The sequence below is a fragment of the Homo sapiens genome, chromosome 14 (assembly GCF_000001405.40).
Source record: "Homo sapiens chromosome 14, GRCh38.p14 Primary Assembly".
Lineage (NCBI taxonomy): Eukaryota > Metazoa > Chordata > Mammalia > Primates > Hominidae > Homo > Homo sapiens.
Genome location: NC_000014.9, coordinates 75,333,771 through 75,351,465, shown reverse-complemented (window position 1 = coordinate 75,351,465; position 17,695 = coordinate 75,333,771). Strand labels below are relative to the sequence as shown.

The window sequence follows — 17,695 nt, the reverse complement described above, 5'->3', positions numbered from 1 at the left end:
CCGTCCATCTGAACCAATGACAGCCAGGCCTAAACTTTGGTCTGTGGGGAAACAGATGCTCTCTTTCCTACTGAATTGGATCTTAGAAGAAGTTACTTGGAGCCACTATGAATTTCTTCATTTTTTAAATCAGCATGCCCCCATTACTGTGTGAATTTTAAAAAAGGATGAAAGCTCAGAGCCAAAGGATTATTTGATATAACATATGTGAAAGCTTTTTGTACAAGGCAAAGTTCTATGCAAAATGTCAGAGCTCCTAAAGTCAAGCTATAAAATAAGACTGAGCTACTTTCACTGAGTCTTTTACTCTGCATCAGGTGTTTTATATGCACTATTGAATGTTACTGAATTTAATACTACCAATTGCCCTTTGAGGTAGGAATTATTTAAGGCCCATTTTACAGATAAAGAAAGTAAAGCTTAGTAAAATTAAGTATGCCCAAACCCACACTGGGGGGTTCTCTGGTAGAACAGCCTGCCTGTGTTATATACCCATATGACCAAAGGAACTGTGGAGTTTAACTTGTGTAACCTCACCAGATTCTGCATACAAGATGAAGTCACATTAGCTGTTATACCCAAATTTAGCTAAGTCATGCAATTATGCCCAAGTTCAGCTGAGTCCTGGCCCCTTTCTGCTCACAGGGATCTCATGCTACCCCTCCTTTGCCCTTCTCTCTCCCCTATCTCAAGCTCCAGACACCAGAATACCAAAGCAACTCCCCTATTCCCCACCCTCTGGTGCAAATCACTCAGACCAATGCCTGGAGAGCTCAGTTTGCAGCCATAGCAAAGCAAGATCACCCAGCTACAATGATACAATTGCCTGCCAATCACAAGCCAGCAGCTCTATCATTTTGTAGAGAAGGTTGGCTTCTCCTCTTATCTCCTCCATATTTCCACCCTCACATGTGGCCTTTTCTCTCCATTCATCTCGGTCCTTGGAGAAGGAAGGTCCTTTCTGAGTCTCTTCAATATCCAAGGTCTAATCTCTTCTGTATGTGATCCCCACCTACTACTGGAATCTTCCTCCACCCTTGGCTGGTGTGTCTCTACAGGCATCTCCTCCTACTGCTCAGATGGCACCTTCACCAGCTCCTCCTCCCCCTCCTGCCATCTTCTAACTCTGGAAAGTCACCAGGACTCAGTCCTGGATGCCACACCATTTTCCCTTCATAAGCTCTTCCTCAAGTAGGCCATTTCTCTTATGGCTTCAGTGACCACTTCTCTGAGGACAAATTCTAACTAAATCTCAGGCCCGGCCCACAGAACGTCCACTTGGATATATCCCTGTCACCTTAAAACCTTCAAGCTTAGAAGGGTCCCAAGTCCTCCCTGACAATTGGTTCTCTCTCTCCTAACTTCTCTATGTCTGTGAGCACATCTGTTTGTTTTCAGTTTAGGGGAGGAAAATTGCAGCCAGGCCTCTGCCATAACTAGCAATACTTAGCACCACTCTCTCCCTCCCCAGATTAAAATGAGTTGTCCTGTAGTAGGGTAGCTAATGACCACTCTGTGACAACCAAAAATCTCAGTGGCTTAACACAATACAGGTTAATTTCTTACTTCTGTCACAGATCAATGAGAAATCAAAGGTGAGGAACTCTGCTCCATATAGTCATTCAGGGACCCAAGCCCTTTCCCTAGTGGCTCTGTTATCTCCTAAGACTTGGAATCCCCCACTACATCCTCAGTGTACAGCCAGCAGATGAAAGACCAGAGAGAGTGATGGATCACAGGGGACACTTTTAGGAACCAGGACCAGAGGTGGTATACGGCACTTTCACCTGCATCCCACTGGTCGGGACTGAGTCACATGCCCCAGCAAACTACAAGAGAGGCTGGGAAATGTAATCTAGCCATGTGCCCAAAAGGAAAAGGAAATGGAGGTTGGTGAACACATAGCAATCACCTCTCAGCCTGGAGTGCTTGGTCTGCAACCTAACCCCTCAATAAGCCCCATATCTTGAAGAATTTCAACCTTGTCTCAACCAAGCAGCCCAACCACAGCTGCTCAACCTGCCCCTAAGTATCAACTTAATGACATTGGTTCTCACACAATTGCTAGTCTTCGTTCATCCAATAAACAGTTACTGAGCACTTAATCATCCCCCAGTTGTTATGCTATACACCAGAGAGGCAAAGGCAAGTAAAAAAGTGGTCCCTGCCCTCAAGAAGACCCCATCTTGTATAACCTCATTCAAACCTAAGGAAAACATTTACTATATTATTATTTCGCCATTTAAAATCCTTTTCTTGGCTGGGTGCGGTTGCTTACGCCTGTAATCCCAGCACTTTGGGAGGCCGAGGCGGGCAGATCACTTGAGGTCAGGAATTCAAGACCTGCCTGGCCAATATGGTAAAACCCTGTCTCTACTAAAAATACAAAAATTAGCCGGGCATGGTGGCAAGTGCCTGTAGTCCCAGCTACTCAGGAGGCTGAGACAGGAGAATCACTTGAACCCAGGAGATGGAGATTGCAGTGAGCCGAGAAAGCACCACTACACTCCAGCCTGGTGACAGAGCAGGACTCCATCTCAAACAAACAAACAAACAAACAAACAAACAAAAAAACCCTTTTTTTGTCAAACATACAGGAAGGTGCCTAAAAAATAGGAACCTCACACAAATGTTAATTGCTTGTTATTGGGGAATAGGGGGTATCACCCAGGGCATGGTCTTGACTCCCAGTACAAGTGATCATGCCTCTTCCTTTGTTCCTTTGCCAGTTAACTCCTGGGATTATCCTCCGCCATGCTTCTCCCAGACTGACATGTGGGGAAGGCTGGCATCTCCATGTTTCTAACCTCTCTTCTGGTTGCCTCATAAAGTGTCTGGCTGTGGATCCGCTCCAGCCCCATACCAGCCCCAGGGCAGCAAGGCCTACCAAGAGGCCCAGGCAGCAGGTACTTATCTCCAGAACCATCAGGTATTTCGTGATGAGGTCTGAGGATTTATGATGGTGGTGCCTGGCTTCCTCAGTCTCCAACCAGGCACCATGAATGAAGTAGTGGGTAGGGTCTGCTGTCTGTACAACATCAAACATGCCCCAGATGCTCTTCAGAGTAGAAATCCATCAGGAGTTTTTGATTGTCCAGCATTAACTCCCTTAATCATCTGGGACAACTCCCCATTGTGCGGTATGGGATAAATGCAGTCCCTCCCCATCTCCAACCACCTCCAGAAATGGAAATGAGGAGGTTCTCTTTTTGACCTCCGCCACACTGAGCAGGCCTGGGAACGTGACCTAGGCTCAGCTAATCAGCCATTCCTACCAGGGATTTTGAGGCTGGAATGAGTGACCGAAGCAAAGGGCCAGTTCAGGGGCATTTGAGGAAGAGGTAGTATGTCTGATGGCAATGGTGACAGTGCTCTGGAGGCTGGGAGCAGGGGCAGCAATTTGGGGTCAGCCTGACCCAGATAAAACGCCTTTGTGCTCTTTGCGTCACTCCTGGTCACTTTCCAAGCCTGCTTTTCTAACCCCCAACAACTCTGTGAACCCCTGATAGCCTTCCTGTAATTTCCCTTTTTCCCTTATAGTCAAAGCCTCTGACTGATATGATGCCAAACCACCTCCGAGTCAAGGCCACATAGGATGGAGCGCACAGACAGACCAAAATCGCCTACTCCAACCCACCTCCACGCCTGCCTAAACAAATCCATCCACCTCCTGCCCAAGCAGAGCTCTGAGAGGTCATCTCCAAGCATCACAAGAGCTGACGAGAGGATGCTGCTGTCAGGGGTCAGGGTCAACTCCAGGAGAGGAGTTGAGGTGATGCTGCTGTTCACCTCTGAAAGTCTCTAAAAACAATCACAATAAGATCCAGCAGAATTTCAGAGGACTTCAGGCTCTTCAGAGGATGGGCTCTTCAGATACAGAAAAGCTGAAACTCACCTGGTTAAACTTAGTCCCCGCATTGAAGAGGGCCCTTTGGGTACTGGGGGCTAGTTTAGGGAAATTCTGAAACGCCTTTTTACATCTCCCAAAGAATGCAGAAACTCATTTTGGATCCTTTAATGCAATCTGACAGGTAATATGTCTTAGTCCATTTTCTGATGTTATAACAGAATATCACAGACTGGGTAATGTATAAATGATAGAAGCTTATTTGGCATATGGTTCTGGAGGTTGGGAAGTCCATGAGCATGATGCTGGCATCTTGCAAGGGCCTTCATGCTGCATCATCCCATGGCAGAAGGTGGAAAGACAAGTGAGCATGCAAGATAGAGAGAAGGAAGGAGCAAACTTATCCTTATATCAGGAACCCACCTCCATGATAACTAACCCACTCCTATGATAAGGCATGAATCCATTCAGGAGGGCAGAGTCCTCATGACCTAATCACCTCCTATTAGGCTCCACCTCCCAACACTGTTGCATTGAGGATTAAGTTTCCAACACATGAGCTTTGGGGGACACATTCAAACCACAGCAGCTAGTTGTGGAGTACAGGCTTTAAAATACACAGAGGCCAGCTATGGCGGCTCATGCCTGTAATCCCAGCACTTTGGGAATCTGAGGCAGGAGAATCACTTGAGGCCAGGAGTTTGAAATCAACCTGAGCAACACAGCAAGACCCTGTCTCTACAAAAAAAAATTAAAAAATTAAAATAATAATAATAAAATACAACCTCCCCCAGCAATGGTATGAACACCTTCATAGTTCTAAATCAGTCTGTACTTTTCCCTCATTCTCCCCTGAACATGTACCTGATTTGGAATCTTGACACATCTAAAAGTTCTCTCCCTGCACCAGTTATCCCATCCCTCTGGTTACAGTTTCCCCTGTTATTGGCTAAGAATGACTACCATCTAATCTCACTCTCTGAGGCATGGACCCACGAGGCATGTGTTAGTCAGGATTCTCCAGAGAAACAGAACGAATAGGATGTAGCTATAAAGAGAATGAGACTTATTATAAGAAATTGGCAGCCTTGGCAACATAGTGAGACCCTGTCTCTACAAAAAAATTAAAAGTTAACCAGGCATAGTGGTGCATGCTTTTAGTCCCAGGTCCTTGGGAGACTAAGGTGTGAGGATCACTTGAGCCCAGGAAGTCGAGGCTGCAGTGAACCATGAACGCATCACTGCATTCTAGTCTGGGCAACAGAGCAAAACCATGTCAAAAAAAAAAAAAAAGGAAAGAAAGAAAGAAATTGGCTCATACAATTATGGAGACTGCCAGATCCCAAGATCTGCAGTGGGCAGTCTTGAGACCCAGGAGAGCTGATAGTGTAGATCCAGTGTGAGGGCCTGCAGGCTCAAGACCCAGAAAGAGCCGATGTTGCAGTTCGAGTCCGAAGGCAAGAAAAAACCCAAAAACCAATGTTCCCACTTGAAGACAGTCAATAGGAGGAATTTCCTCTTCTTCCAGGGAGGGTCAGCCTTTTGTTCTATTCAGGCCTCCAACTGACTGGAGGAAACCCGCCCACATTAGGGAGAACTATCTGCTTTACTCAGTTATCAACTGAAATGTGGAAGACTTATCCGAAGACACCCTCACAGAATCACCTGAAATAATGTTTACCAAATATCTGGGCACCCCATGGCTCAGTCAAGTTGATGCATACAACTAACCATCACAGACCTTAATAAATTTTTGCCCTTAGATAACTCCTTTTCCAGCTATCACCCCCTGCCAACATACACACACACTCTCCTCAGAAGAAGAACTATGGTAGAAATTCTATAAATCCCCTAACAATAGGAAACTGGGCAACTATGCTATGTCCTGGCCAGATGAGCAACTCCTGAAGAAATTATCATTCTCCTTACTAAGCCATGGTCTCATCTCCTGCCCATATTCCACCGATGCCCAGTCTCACCCCTCTGACCTTTTCTTCACACTCCTGCATCCACTACCTGGTCCCGACTCTTATCATCTCAAGCCCAAACTACTGTGATCGCCTCTGAATGAGTCTCTCTATCTTCCCTTTCCCCAATGTATCCTCCACACTGCCACCAGGTTACAGAATCTTGGTGAACAAACAAAACACATTCTTCCAGTTCTGAGTTCACAAAATTATTTAATGATTCTTCATTGACTATAAAATTCAATTCAGTACAACAAATACTTTTAGCATCTGCTGTGCACCAGGTCTGTGACCACCACAGTGAGTAGGCTGTGGCCTTCCCATCAGTGGACTCACTGCCTACCTCTAGGAAGAGGCAGACAAATACAGTCCCAGGCAAAAAAAAAATTAAAATCCCAAATTTTTTTTTTTTTTTTTTTTTGAGACAGAGTCTCACTCTGTCACCCAGGCTGGAGTGCAGTGGTGCAATCTCGGCTCACTGCAACCTCCACCTTCTGGGTTCAAGCAATTCTCCTGCCTCAGCCTCCTGAGTAGCTGGGATTATAGGCACGCGCCACCATGCCCAGCTAGTTTTTTGTATTTTTAGTGAGACGGGGTTTCACCATGTTGGTCAGGCTGGTCTTGAACTCCTGACCTCATGATCCATGTGCCTCAGCCTCCCAAAGTGCTGGGGTTACAGGCATGAGCCACTGTGCCCAGCTAAATTCCCAAATCTTTTAACCAAGAGAGGCTGACATCCATTGTTCTTATCTACCCAGTATCCATTTTCCCTTATCTTGGCAACAGCATCTGGTCTTCCATTGGGGAATATCTTAATTTGGATTCCCCAAAAGCAGACCTTTAGACAGATTCAAGTGTGAGAATTTATTTGGGAGGAAGTTCTGGGAAATACCAGTAGGCAAGTAGGAAAGTAAGATGGAGAAGGAAGGAAGTCAATGCAGAGTGTATCATCATTCAAGTGACCACACTGAGCAACTGGAACTTAATCCTACTGGGGAACTCTGAGAAACACTGTAGAACATGAGCCACAGAGTCATCTCACCCGAGACAAAAAAAAAATGGGGTATTCATCCTCCAACTCCAACAGCCATTGGCCAAGGACTGCTCTTAGGAAGTGTTAACTCCCTGGCATTTCTGGCCTTTCTTGAATGTGTTCAGAGTGGGCTCTGGTGGTGAGAGAAAGCCCTCAGGCAAAGACATGAGGGTGTTAACAGTAGAAAATTAAACCAGCATCCACCGAAATGGTAAGGACCAAGGGGATAAGGATGGGGCACTGGCAGCATCTGCTACAGTGGCCATTCCTCCATATGGTTGGGGTGGAGATGAACTTGCCCTCTTGGGCCACGTCCCAGACCTGGTCAGTGAGAAAGCCCACATCCCTCTGGTCATGGTTGTAGTTCCAGCAGGGTTAGAGGATAGTTGTTCATGACCCAGACTGAGCCAACCAACCAGCCTCAGTCCTAAGAATTCTGAGAATTCTTCTGGAAATATTTGGCAAGAGATGGCTGAACTGAGGTGACGTAAGCCTAGAGTTGCCAGGGACCACCACATGGAGAAAGCCTCCTGGGAAATGAAATCAATGCAGATGAGCCAGAGCTGAGAGAAGGAGAGAGACTGAGCCCTGATGACATCTTTTGAGAACATGGATCCAGCTATGTGTCATACTCATGCCCTTGGGCTTTTTAATTAGATGAAATGATAAATTCCATTTTATCTTAAGTAAATTTGAATTGGATTTCTATCACTTGAAACTAAAACAGTCCTGACTAATTCATGAGGCAACCAAGATCCTCCAAAATATGGTCTCAACTCCAGTTTTTGTTGTTTTCATCTATAATTCTTCTATTCAAATCCTGTACTTCTCCTAGACTTAGAATTGACTGTCCACCCCCATGGAGCTCGTTGATAGCCACACCCTCCATCCGCTCCAGGCTTCGCTCACCTCATTTCTATCCCCTAGGACTGCTTTTTCCTCTTCACTGTCTGTCTAAATCCTACTCATTGTTCAAGACCCACCTCTGGTCCTGCCTCCTCCAAAAAGCCATCCTAACTACCCCAAACCACAGCTCTCCTCTGAGCAACGTGATCACTTATCCATGCCATTCGTTTGGTGCTCATTATATAGGATTTGGTATGTTTATAACGATGGCATTAGTGTGTTTCCTGGCTCCCCATTCAGATCAAAAGCCATGTGTGTAACTGTTTGTGTCTTTCATGATGCCCAGAATTGACTAGTACTGTAATATGCAAAACAATACCATGGTTGACTCAAATCTTTTTGAAAGAATCTTAAAAATAAATAAATGGTAAAAACAGTTTTACTTGGTTGATTGAAGAACCTAGAACACAAGCATTTCTTACTTCTCTATTTTGCCCAAGATGAACTGAGCTTAATGCTATTGAGGGAAGTCCACCAGGGACTCTATCACTTCACCCACACAGTGGGGCACTTTCAACAGATCACCTTTTCCTGAGCATCTCAGGCCATAGTTCACAGACTTCTTGTAGTAGATATCTGTCATTCTTGACTTCCAAAAGCTTTTGCATAATCTCTCCACATTTTAAGGATATTCACATTGAATTTGTGTCTCTCTGCATAGATGTGTGGGTGTAGACATTTCTCAGCTTTGCTTGCTGCTGGGTACAGACACATGGCTTAGGTTTTGCCACTTAGATGCACCCACATGAGACTTTGATTTGGAAGTGAGCTACATGAGGAAACAGAAGGGGTGCAGGCCCAGATGGCAGCAGGTACAGCAGGTTTCTGGGGCTGGAGGTGGCAGTGGCAGCTCTTTGCCTGCAGCAGAGACAACCATGGTTCATGGTTGGCAGTGGTAACAGCTTCTTACCGACCCAATCCTGCAGTGTGTCTCTAGGAAGTGTTCATGGAATTTCAGCTTAGAGCTTGTTCCTTCAGCCCTTCTGACAATTCTGTGATCTTCCCAATATCCCCAAATAAACCCCTTCTTAAACTTGCTAGAATGAATTCTATTGCCTACAAATGTGCACTCTAACCAATGCAACCCTGATGTCCACCATTTGGCCAGGTAGCTTTCTCCATGTCCCAGACATAAACTGAAGTTGTGCAACCTCACCTGTGTGATGACCAGCTTCAATTCTTCCATAGATCAAAGGCCCTGGAGCCTTTGGGTTTATCTGCTATTGTAGTCTGGGAGAAAAGAGAAGAGGCTGAGCAGCAAGACCAGATGGCCATGGAAAATTCCTAGTACTCGGGGTTCCTGGTATTCTGGAAGTTTTTCCTAGTCTGAGTAGGGATTCTGGCTGGGCGCAGTGGCTCACACCTGCTATTCCAACACTTTGGGAGGCTGAGATGGGGGGATCGCTTGAGACCAAGGGTTCAAGAACAGCCTGGGCAATATAGTGAGACCTTGTCTCTACAAAAAAATTTAAAAATTAGCTGAGTGTAGTGACCTGACCCTTGCACCTGAAGCCCCAGCTACTCAGGAGGCTGAGGCAGGAGGATCACTTGAACCCAGGAGGCAGAGGTTGCACTGAGCCGAGATGGCACCACTACACTCCAGCCTGGGTGACAGAGTGAAACCTTGTCTTAAACTGAATTAATTTAATTTAAAAGGGATTCTCCCATTCATCCCAAAGGTGACTCTTAGTTGACTGGAAGGTTTCACTAAATAAATATAGAATTGCTTTATGTCTCCTAAAGACTTTCTTGGCACCAGACATTAAAGATTTTAAAAACACTCAACTCTCTCTCCCAACATGAGGCTGCCTCTGACTCTACATACCAAGTTCCTCTCCTTCAGGTTCCTCTTGTTGGCTTCTGACTCAGCTAATTTTCCCCTTCTTTAGGCCTCTTGAAGACTTTTCTCAGCTCCCCAAACCCTGCTTCTGCATAAATGCCTAAATCATATTTTCCCCTGTAGTGCTCAGTCACTTCCCAGTAAAACTTGACCATGAGTCTGTGAGGTCTGGGGGTCTGGAGCTGGTGCTGTGGCTGAGCTTCAGCCTTCATAAATATCTTTCTCTTTTGCCTGATCCTGAATTCTAGGGAAAATCTTTCCTCCCTGTTTCTCACTCTCTACTCTAGCTGGCTCCAGACTATGCCAAGGGATTCCCCAATCAGCAAATTGGGCTACTTGTCCAAACTTTATGGCCTCCTTTAAGGGTGCCACTGAAGACAAAGATAACAGGATCATGGGGATCCCCTGACCTCCTAATGTGGAAGCCTGTGCATGCTGGGTTTATTTCTATGTGATCACCAAAGATATTCCACAGAAATCCTCCCCAATCACCCTGCTTGTCATTCATTCATCAAAAGTTTATTCCCTGCAGAAATTGCTTTGGACTGAAACCCTATAGGAGGGTAGGTTCGGGATGGCTTGCCAGGGCCTCTCATAGACAGACTTTCATAGACAAGTCCTTGCCAACAGCTTAAGGGGAAACGAGGTCCCAGGAGGCCCCCGGCTGTCTGATCATGTGACCTTCCTGGCTCCGTTACAAGGACGTCCTGTTCCTCTTGGAGTGATGGCTCTACTGAGGAAGTGACTGTGTCATATCTGGGACAGGAAAAAAGCTATTTCAAGTCCTGAAGTAATCACTCGGTTAGGTAGTGCGGTCTCTTCAGAAACTGCCTGGACAGTGGAGAAAGACCAGTCCTGAGGGAAGGTAAATGGAAGCCCGTGTCACTAGGGCAAAGGAGGACCCACTAGAAGAAGAATGGCAGGGGTTGTCATGTCAGTCCTCCATTTGTGATACATTTCTGGCCGGTCATGAAGAAATGGCATGGGGGAACAATACACATGACCCCCAAACCAAGACGCAGAGGTCTCTCCACATATCTGGGTAAGCAGGAATGAATGAGAACATCCTCACATTCATGGCCTCCTTGGGTTTTAAAAGTACATTGAGAAACAGGATGGTACCTAATGGCCCATGAAGGTCTCTCCTCGGCTGGCTGGCTTTCCCCATGTGCAACAAGAGATTTAGGAGATTCGTTTGTATATTTCCATCAAGAATTCTGGGAATCAGACCTGAAACTTACTATTTCCTTATCACTTGGGTAGACTGGGGAAAATAATGGTTATATTCAGAAAGCTCATGGACCCACACATACTGATCAGTCAATGGTTCCTTAACACTTAACTAGTGTTAAGGAAACAAGAGAAAGGGAGAAGACCTTTATCCTGAAAATATCACCTATGTCTTCAGGGCCAAGCCATTTACCTGGGCCTGCCTAGCATACTGTAGGTGTTCATCATGTACTTTTTGGGTGAGTGGGTTCGTGTTTATGTCTAGAATGTTTGCATCCTTCTACATTCTCAATTTCCTCAAGAACAGAAGCCATGTATCTGCTTGAGTCCCAGAGTAGTAGAAAGAATCCTGGGCCTGGATGTGCTTCTCATCAATCAGTTGAACATGTTCATCTTTATTTGCCTGATAAATTAAAAAATAGGAGAGAGGCAATCAAAGGCAGAACGGTGGCAAGTCTTACTACAAGTCTATAGGGCTCTTTGTTTACCTCTAGGAAACCCTGGCTTCATCCAAGCAATCTCTCTCCATTATTATGCAAAATCAAGAAAATAATAATAGTAACATTCCTGCCAGAAATTCCAGGGCAACGCTGTTTTAGGCATCTAGGTTGGAGATGGCAGATATTTGGCATGCTTGCAACTACCTGATATTCCGTGTTCCTGACAGACATCGTGAATCAATCATTCTAATCATCACTAATCACTAATCATCACTATTCTGCTGACCCTCAGAGTCTTTCTCAACATTGCATTCCAGGCAGCCACTACCAATCAACTAGAAATCACACATGCAAAGGATGTTATCTCTGCTGTAGTCCATGATGGCATGTGATACTTTCATATCCTAAACCAATCTGAAAATTCTCACAAATACTCTTGATAATAAGTATCACTGCAATTACAGAATTACAGATCTGAAAGAGACCTTAGAAATCATCAGCTTTAATCCAAAATGCAAGATGAGCCTGGAGCATCTCGTATGGCAGATAGGACACTGAAGTCCACAGAGGGTAACCAACTCGCCCTAATTCAGAGTGTTAGTTAATGTCATTAGCAGTCCCTTACATCTGTATAGTGCTTTAGAGATGACAGTGTACTTTTAACTGAAGGACCTCATATGATTCTTTATTCATTCATCCAATAAATATTTATTGAATTCCTACTGTGTTCTATGTACTATGCTGGAGGTTAGGAAACCAGCAGTTAGAAGGAAGAAAGAAAAGAAAAAAAAGCTTTGATTCCTGTCTTACAGTTAAGCAAGGAGCCTTAAAATAACTCCATGACCTGAACAGGATAGACACTACTATCCTCAGCTTTGCAGATGCTAGAGGGTGACAATTAAGAGAGGACATGACACGCTTAAAAACGGCAGCTCTGGAATTCACAACATCCCTCAAGTCGCCACTTTTAGATGAGATCATTACTGTTGCAACATGTGGGAAGCAAATTTCCAGACCCATCAGGCATTTCTTAATTAGCTCTCTGACCACTTCAGAATGCTTAAGGTATGAAAGAACCTCTCTATTTAGGGAATGATGGCAAATTCTCCCGGCCCTGTAGAAACAATTTCAAAGGGTCTTTCTCTCCAAACCTGCAACCCCTTGACCTTGTAGCCCATGCAGTGTGGTGGGAAGAGCACAGATATGGGAGCACAGAGTTCTGAATCCTATTCCCACCCATGGCTCTAACCAACTAGTTCATCTTGGACAAGGTACATCACCTCTCTAGGCTTCAGTTTCCCCATCCATAAGGAAAGTGAGTTGAACCATGAGATCTCTAAGCTTCCTTCCCACTGACATCTGACAATTCTGCCTGACCAAAAAAGACAGAGCTTCCCAGCCGTACTTCACCTTCTCCTTTCACCAGACATTCTCTGCAACAGCTGGCTTTGCAGCCCAGACCCACCAAGAAAACAGCAACTCTAGGAAAGGTGGTATGGTCCAGCAAAGCCCAAAGTAGTTCTAATCATGATCCAGCTGATCATGTGACCTGAGACAACCAGTTCAACCTTCATATGTCATGGTTTCTTCTTCCCCCATCCAACAATGATATGATAAAAGAAACCAGATGTAGAAATGCTTTGGAAATATTAAGATGTGCCCATCAAGAAGGAAAAAAAAGAAGCTGACCTAAGTAACTTTGGAAAATGATGGGGTTTTTTTCTTTTTTATTTCACTGTCACAAACTTCACACACAATGGAAAATGATGTGTTTGACTGGAATCTGTAAAGCTAAAAAAATACTGTGCAAAAAGAACTCTGCAAAAACACTATACTCTAGTTGATAAATTTACTTTTCATAGGGAACTACATTGGTGATTCTGAAACTACTTCACATGTATACTAGGGTTGAACAAATATGTAAATAAATTATAGATAATGGGAGTCAGGTTTCTCACCATCAGAGAAAAAAGCAGCAGTGAGAAAAGGGAGAAGGTTAGAATGAAACCTGCAGGGTTGGATTCAAGTCAGAGATAATACAAATTCTTTCTTTTTTTTTCTTTTTTTGGGGACAGAGTTTCACTCTTGTTGCCCAGGCTACTGTGCAATGGCACGATCTTGGCTCACTGCAACTTCTGCCTCCTGGGTTCAAGTGATTCTCCTCCCCAGCCTCCCAAGTAGCTGGGACTACAGGCATGCACCACCACACTCAGCTAATTTTTTTATGTTTTTAGTAGAGACGGGGTTTCACCATGTTGATCAGGTCGGTCTCAAACTCCTGACACAGGTGATCCACCCACCTTGGCCTCCCAAAGCGCTGGGATTGCAGGTGTGAGCCACTGCGCCTGGCACAAACTCTTTTTAAAAGTATATATACAAATAGACAGATACACAAACATAGATATGCACATATTCATGGGTTAGCATACATACATATATACATAAATATATGTAAATATTCCTAACTGTTCACTGAGAGGGCCTAGAAGCAATGACACCCCAGTAGCAACGAGCACACCCAACACTCAGAAACATGGTTTCTAAATACCATTCTCTGATTAAAGGAACCAGGCTCCTTGGAGAAATAACTGATTCTAGGGCTAAAGCAGTGAAAACACAAGGTGAGTTTTGGAGCAGCTTGTAATGCCAGAAAGTAAGGAATTGGAAAAAAAATGGGGGCCCCAAAACTATGTACATCCATTATGCATCATTTTTTTTTTTTAATGTGGGCATGTCAAAAGGAACCAGGAGTTCCCAACGAGCAAGGCTGGAACAATTTAAGCAACAAACTAATGAAAGGATTGGATGATATAGAACCATGATGATTCTTATAACCCAAAGAATAAAAGAAATATCCATGAGTCCATGCCAATATAAATAAATTAATATATGAACTACAGAGAATCTTTTCTTTGCAGTGAGATACTCACAGGTCACTGTAGCCTCAACCTCCCGGTCTCAAGCCGTCCTCCTACCTTAGCCTCCCAAATAGCTGGGACTACAGGTGCGTGCCACTATACCCAGCTAATGTTTTGTATTTATTGTAGAGACAGAGTTTTCCCATGTTGCTCAGGCTGGTCTTGAACTCCTGGGCTCAAGTGACCCACCTGCCTTGGCCTCCCATAGTGCTGGGATTACAGGTATGAGCCACCATGCCCAGCCTGAGACAAATTTTCATAAGATTAAATTCCAAAATATATATGTACATTCTCCCTTCTCCAGGAAGTAGAGTTTCATTTCCTTCCCTTTGAATATGGGCTAGACTTATTGACCCACTTCTAATAAGTAGAATACAGAAAGGGAAAAACAGTAACTTCACAGTGGAGAAACGGCAGAGCCACCTTAACCATGCAAATAAAGTTAACTTCACCATTGATAAGCCATGTTGATATCATGTACCTCCTTATGGCATGCAAAGAAGAAAGGACTTTTCTTCTAAAAAATCCATAACCCTGGTCTAATTATGAGAAAACATTAGATAAACCCAAACACTCAATAAAATACCTGAAAGTGTCAAAGTTATGAACAATAAGGAACAACTAAGAAACTTTTCACAGGTGAGAGAAGACACGACAAGTAAATGCAATATGGTATCCTGGATTACATCCTGTGACAGGAAAAGGACATTAGTGGAAAAACTGGAGAAATCCACAGTCTGTAGTTTAGTTATAGTATATTATACCAGTGTTCATTTCTTAGCAAGGAAATGTTACCTGTAAGAAAGGATCACTACACCTACTTTTTTTTTTTTTTTTTTTGAGACAGAGTCTCACTTTGTCACCCAGGCTGGAGTGCAATGGCACAATCTTGGCTCACTGCAACCTCCACCTCCTGAGTTCAAGTGATTCTCCTGCCTCAGCCTTCTGAGTAGCTGGAATTATAGGCACATGCCACCATGCCCAGCTAATTTTTGTATTTTTAGTAGAAACAGGATTTCGCCACATTGGCCAGGCTGGTCTCAAACTCCCAACCTCAGGTGGTCTACCTGCCTTGGCCTCCCAAAGTGCTGAGAGTACAGGCTGGAGCCACCGCACCTGGCCTGCACCTGCATTTTGAGGTAAGGCTGAAAATCTAGACCACTAACTACAGGGTGCCTGTCCCACTGGCCAGGGACCAGATATGCCACCGTTTGAAACAAATTCAAGGATAGGGGCCTGACTGAGCATTGATGGCCATGAGGGTGGGGAGCGAGAAATCACTTCTGTTGTGCCCCTCAGTTCTTACCTCTAGGCAGAGTCATTCCATGGGAGCTGTTTCTCTGAAAGGGGCCTGGTTTGTGATCAGAATCTATTGTCAAAAAGAAAGAAAGTCCCTTCTCCCACGCAAATGCCAGGCAGGGGGGTGGAGCCAAATGATCACAGGACCCTCATTTTCTGCAACAGTGATTGCTTTGTGTAAAGGGGGCAAGATGCCAGGGCAACTGCTGGGGAAACTGCCGGCTGCCCAGCATTGCAAGGCTCCAGGTGTTTGGGGAATTTCAGACTTAGGCCAGTGGAAGAAAGAGAACTTGACCACGTGGACTCCACCATCTTCTAGGGGTACTCGTCAGGGAAATAATGGGGAGATGCTGCTCCTTCCTGTTTCGCAGACGCAGCAGCAATACTTGTGGCATAAGAGCAAAGCCCCTCCAGAGGGGACAATTTTAAAGCTAAGTGTCCCTGGCATGAGTTACCAGGGTAGCCAAGCTTTACAAAGACAGGGTTAATTCTTTCAAGTGTTTAACTTTAGTGATTTGGTTTTGATCAAAATCTTTTTTTTTTTTTTTTTTTTTTTTTTTGGTTTGTGTGTGAATCAGAGTCTCACTCTGTCGCCCAAGCTGGAGTGCAGTGGCGTGATCTCGGCTCACTGCAACCTCTACCTCCCAGGTTCAAGCGATTCTCCTGCCTCAGCCTCCTGAGTAACTGAGACTACAGGCACCCGCCATCACACCCGGCTAATTTTCATGTTTTTTAGTAGAGACAGGGTTTCGCCATATTGGCCAGGCTGGTCTTGAACTCCTGATCTCAAGTGATCCACCCGCCTCGGCCTCCCAAACTGCTGGGATTACAGGCATGAGCCACCGTGTTGATCAAAATCTTTTTTAAAACTTGTTACTCCTTCATCCATTAAACAGAGCTTGCAAAATATAAATGAACGTTTCCTTGGTGGTTGAAGGTCATTATTGGGAGCATCAGTTATGCCGAGTGCTGCAAAGTGAAACCAGAGACTCAGAAGTGCATTCAGCGTTTGGGACACTTTGCTGAATGGGTCGTGATCTCAGCAACAGCTCTGAAATTTGCCTTCTTGAAAGAATCCCTGACATCAGCTCATTTTTCTACTTTAGAAAAGTGCAGAGCATGTTCACTGTTCTTCACAAAGGCAAAACAGAACCCTGGCCCCAGAAGCTATGTGACCTTCACCAAGTGATGTCATCTCTTAGTGGCTGTGATTCTTCATCTGTAAACTCGGGAATAGCGTTATTAGATAATGCATGTTTAGAACATGCCTTCGATGCATTAGAGCAGGGCTTGGAACAGCGTTCAGCATGTCAGAAGCGCTCAGGGGGTTAACCGCTGTTACTACCGTTTGCAGATGAAGACAAGTCCCAGGTCTGGTTAGTTCAATCTGCCTCTTTTCACTGTAGTCTCACCAACATTGGCTGGCTGTCTGGGAAGCAACACCACCAGTGACCTCTTCTGGGTCTCGTGGCCACCAGCCATTGTGCCCATTCTAATCAAGGAGGCTCACCTCCAATTTATGCCTTTTCTAGTAAGAAAGGACAGAAAGAATTTCCCTGAGTCAAGTCCTTGCCAGAGTAGGGGCCTCTTGCAATCCGTGCCACGAAGTCCCGGAAGGAAGCTCTGCAAATGTGCGCTCAGGGCTTGTCAAATGAGCAGAAGGGCGGTTAAGTAACAAAGTAACTGCGGAGTCAGGCGCGGAGGGGAACAGCGTCTCTAACCACGGCGACCCTGTTCTTCTCTGGGCGCTTCCACTGAGTTATTAGATCAGCACTTGGCTGAGATGGGAGTGGAAGAACCCGGGAGGGAACGGGCCCAGGTCTTCATGTAGAAAAAGGGGCCCTGGCCCCTCGGGGTATTCAGGGCGCCGACCACCACGGCCTCGTCGCCCTTTTCCCCTAAAGCCCTGGAGGAAGGCACTCTCTGGCCTGAAGTTCGCCTGTCCACTGGTGATACCACCCGCCGCAGCGTTTCCAGCTGGGAAGGAGTTGGACATGACCGTACCCGCAACAGCTGCGCTCAGCACTGCCCGGGGCTGCCCCCATCCCTACCCCTACCCCGGGGGCTCCGGAAACCCCCCACAACCCCCGCAGATTTACCAAAATCCAGGGACCCTCTTACCCCCCCTCCCCTCCTCCCCAGGTCACCCACAGACACACACACATTTCCTGCCCTGCCAAAAATAAAGCTGGAGGGCGCTGGGGGTGCGCTTGCC

At 45.3% G+C, this 17,695-nt stretch overlaps 1 annotated feature.

Annotated features, from left to right (window-relative positions):
* Positions 16,943–17,442: an enhancer, noted in NCBI's record as "H3K4me1 hESC enhancer chr14:75800727-75801226 (GRCh37/hg19 assembly coordinates)". NCBI's record gives its function as "activates a minimal SCP1, AML or CMV promoter by ChIP-STARR-seq in primed H9 embryonic stem cells {active_cell/tissue: H9 hESC(primed)}" and the evidence as "EXISTENCE:reporter gene assay evidence [ECO:0000049][PMID:30033119]".